The 2860-nt window shown below is 41.6% G+C and overlaps 1 annotated feature.

The window, feature by feature from the left end:
* Positions 1628 to 1707: an enhancer, noted in NCBI's record as "active region_13487". NCBI's record gives its function as "activates an Ori minimal core promoter by ATAC-STARR-seq in GM12878 lymphoblastoid cells {active_cell/tissue: GM12878}" and the evidence as "EXISTENCE:reporter gene assay evidence [ECO:0000049][PMID:35858748]".

The following is a 2860-nucleotide window of genomic DNA, read 5'->3' as shown; positions in this document are numbered from 1 at the left end:
TATACATGTTAGTGTAATAAATATATATCATAAAAATAAAAGATTTTTGCTGGGATATACTAACTTCCTAAAGGCCAAGTATAAAATGTTAAGATTTATGGGTATATGAAACTTGGGTATTCAAACATTCAATTATCATAATTTGAGATATTTATCTTCAAGTTTGACAGAATAGAGCTACGTGACATTGCACAGACTCTCACATTTGCATTTTCCTGAATACCATTAAATTATTTTATTGAAGAACTTTTTTCTTATCTGTCTCTAAATTGCATTCTACTAATTTTGTTTTCCATATGATTGTCCATCATTTTTCAGATAAAAAGCTGTATAAATGACAAACATTTTTGAAAAGTTATAATTAAGTTACTTTTGTCCCCATATTGTAACAGTTATAGCATTATTGTCAATATTCTGATATAAAGACTTATTTTCAAAAAGACGTTAGAAAGCTACCTGTCATTTTTTCACTGTGCCTACATACAGGGTAGACTATAACCTATTCAGCCAAAAACACTTTCTAAGCAGAAAATCTGATCATACTTTGTGACAAAAGAACTGGGTGTATGAAAAACTTATGACATTTTTCACAATTGCAGGATCTTCAGCTGCAGATATTTTCTCAAAATGTCAGTAATAATAAAAATCTGCATTTGTCAAGCAGTTACTACTTTTCAAGGGACAATGCATGCTTATGAAATTTCAAAAGTTCTATTAAATTAGCATCTCCAAAAATCTTGAAATTCCCATTTCTGTGCTCATATATTTGAAACTAATATACCTAAATTCTTCTTGTTATAGTGTGTATTAGTCCATTTTCATGCTGCTGATAAAGACATAACCAAGATTGGGAAAAAAAAGAGGTTTAATTAGACTTACAGTTCCACATGGCTGAGGAGACTTCAGAATCATGGCAGGAGGCAAAAGGTGCTTCTTACATGGCACTGGCAAGAGAAAATGAGGATGATGCAGAAGTGGAAACCCCTGATAAAACCATCAGATCTCATGAGACTTATTCACTACCATGAGAACAGTAAGGAGGAAACCACCCCCGTGATTCAAATAATCTCCCACCGGGTTCCTCCTACAACATGAGGCAACTATGGGAGTACAATTCAAGATGAGATTTCGGTGGGGACACAGAGCTAAGCCATATCCTTCCTTCCACCCCTGTCCCCTCCAAATCTCATGTCTCATATTTCAAAAGCAATCAAGTCTTCCTCACAGTCCTCCAAAGCCTTAATTCATTTCAGTATTAAACCAAAAGTCCACAGTCCAGAGCCTCATCTGAGACAAGGCAAGTTCCTTCTGCCTATAAGCCTGTAAAATCAAAAGCAGGCTAGTTACTTCCTAGGTACTATAGGGGTACAGGTATTGGGTAAATACAGCCACTCCAAATGTGAGAAATTGGGCAAAACAAAGGGGTTACAGGGCCCATGCAAGTCCAAAATCTAGCAGGGCAGTCAAATTTTAAAGCTCCAAAATGATCTCCTTTGACTCCATGTCTCACATCCAGGTGACACTGACTCAAGAGGTAGGTTCCCATAGTCTTGGGCAGCTCTGCCACTGTGGCTTTGCAGGATACAGCGCCCCCTGCTGGCTGCTTTCATGGGCTGGTGTTGAGTGTCTGTGGCTTTTCCAGGCACACGGTGCAAGCTGTCAGTGGATCTACCATTCTGGGCTCTGGAGGACGATGGCCTCTTCTTACAGCTCCACTAGGCAGCACCCCACTAGGGACTCTGGGTGGGGGCTCTGACCACACATTTCCCTTCCACACTGCCCTAGCAGAGGTTCTCCATGAGGGCCCTGCCTCTGCAGCAAACTTTTGCCTGGGCATCCAAACATTTCCATTCATCTTCTGAAATCTGGGTGGAGGTTCCCAAACCTCAGTTCTTGACTTCTGCACACCTGCAGGCTCAACATCATGTGGAAACTGCCAAGGTTTGGGGCTTGCAACCTCTAAAACCATGGGCTGACCTGTACCTTGGCCCCTTTTAGCAACAGCTGGAGCAGCTGGGACTAAGTGCACCAAGTCCCTAGGCTAAACACAGCATGGGGAACCTGGGCCTGGCCTATGAAACCATTTTTTTTCTCCCAGGCTTCTGGGTCTGTGATGGGAGGGGCTGCCATGAAGACCTATGACATGCCCTGGAGACATTTTTCCCATTAATATTTGGAAAATAAATATTTTCCAAATTAATCCAAAGGGATTATTTGGCTCCTTGTTACTTATGCAAATTTCTGCAGCCAGTTTGAATTTCTCCTCAAAAAAAATGGGTTTTTCTTTTCTACTACATCGTCAGGCTGCAAATTTTCCAAACTTTTATGTTCTGTTTCCCTTTTAAAACAGAATGCTGTAACAGCACCCAAGTCACCTCTTGAATGCTTTGCTGCTTAGAAATTTCCTCCACCTGGCTGAGCGGTGGCTCACACCTGTAATCCCAGCACTTTGGGAGGCTGAGTTGTGTGGATCACCTGAGGTTAGGAGTTTGAGACCAGCCTGACCAACATGGTGAAACCCCGTCTCTACTAAAAATACAAAAATTAGCGGGCATGGTAGCAGGTGCCTGTAGTCCCAGCTACTTGAGAGGCTGAGGCAGGAGAATCACTTGAACCCAGGAGGTGGAGGTTGCAGTGAGCCAAGATTGCGCCACTGCACTCCAGCCTGTCGACCAAGCAAGACTTCGTCTCAAAAAAGAAAAAGAAAAAGAAATTTCTTCTGCCAGATTCCCTAAATCATTTCTCTCAAGTTCAAAGTTCCACAAATCTCTAAGGCAGAGACAAAATGCCACCAGTCTCTTTGCTAAAACATAAAGGAGTCACCTTTGCTCCAGTTCCCAACAAGTTTCTCATCTCCATC

This window comes from Homo sapiens, chromosome 18 (genome assembly GCF_000001405.40).
Source record: "Homo sapiens chromosome 18, GRCh38.p14 Primary Assembly".
NCBI classification, from domain to species: Eukaryota; Metazoa; Chordata; class Mammalia; order Primates; family Hominidae; genus Homo; species Homo sapiens.
This window is presented reverse-complemented; position numbering and strand designations above follow the sequence as displayed.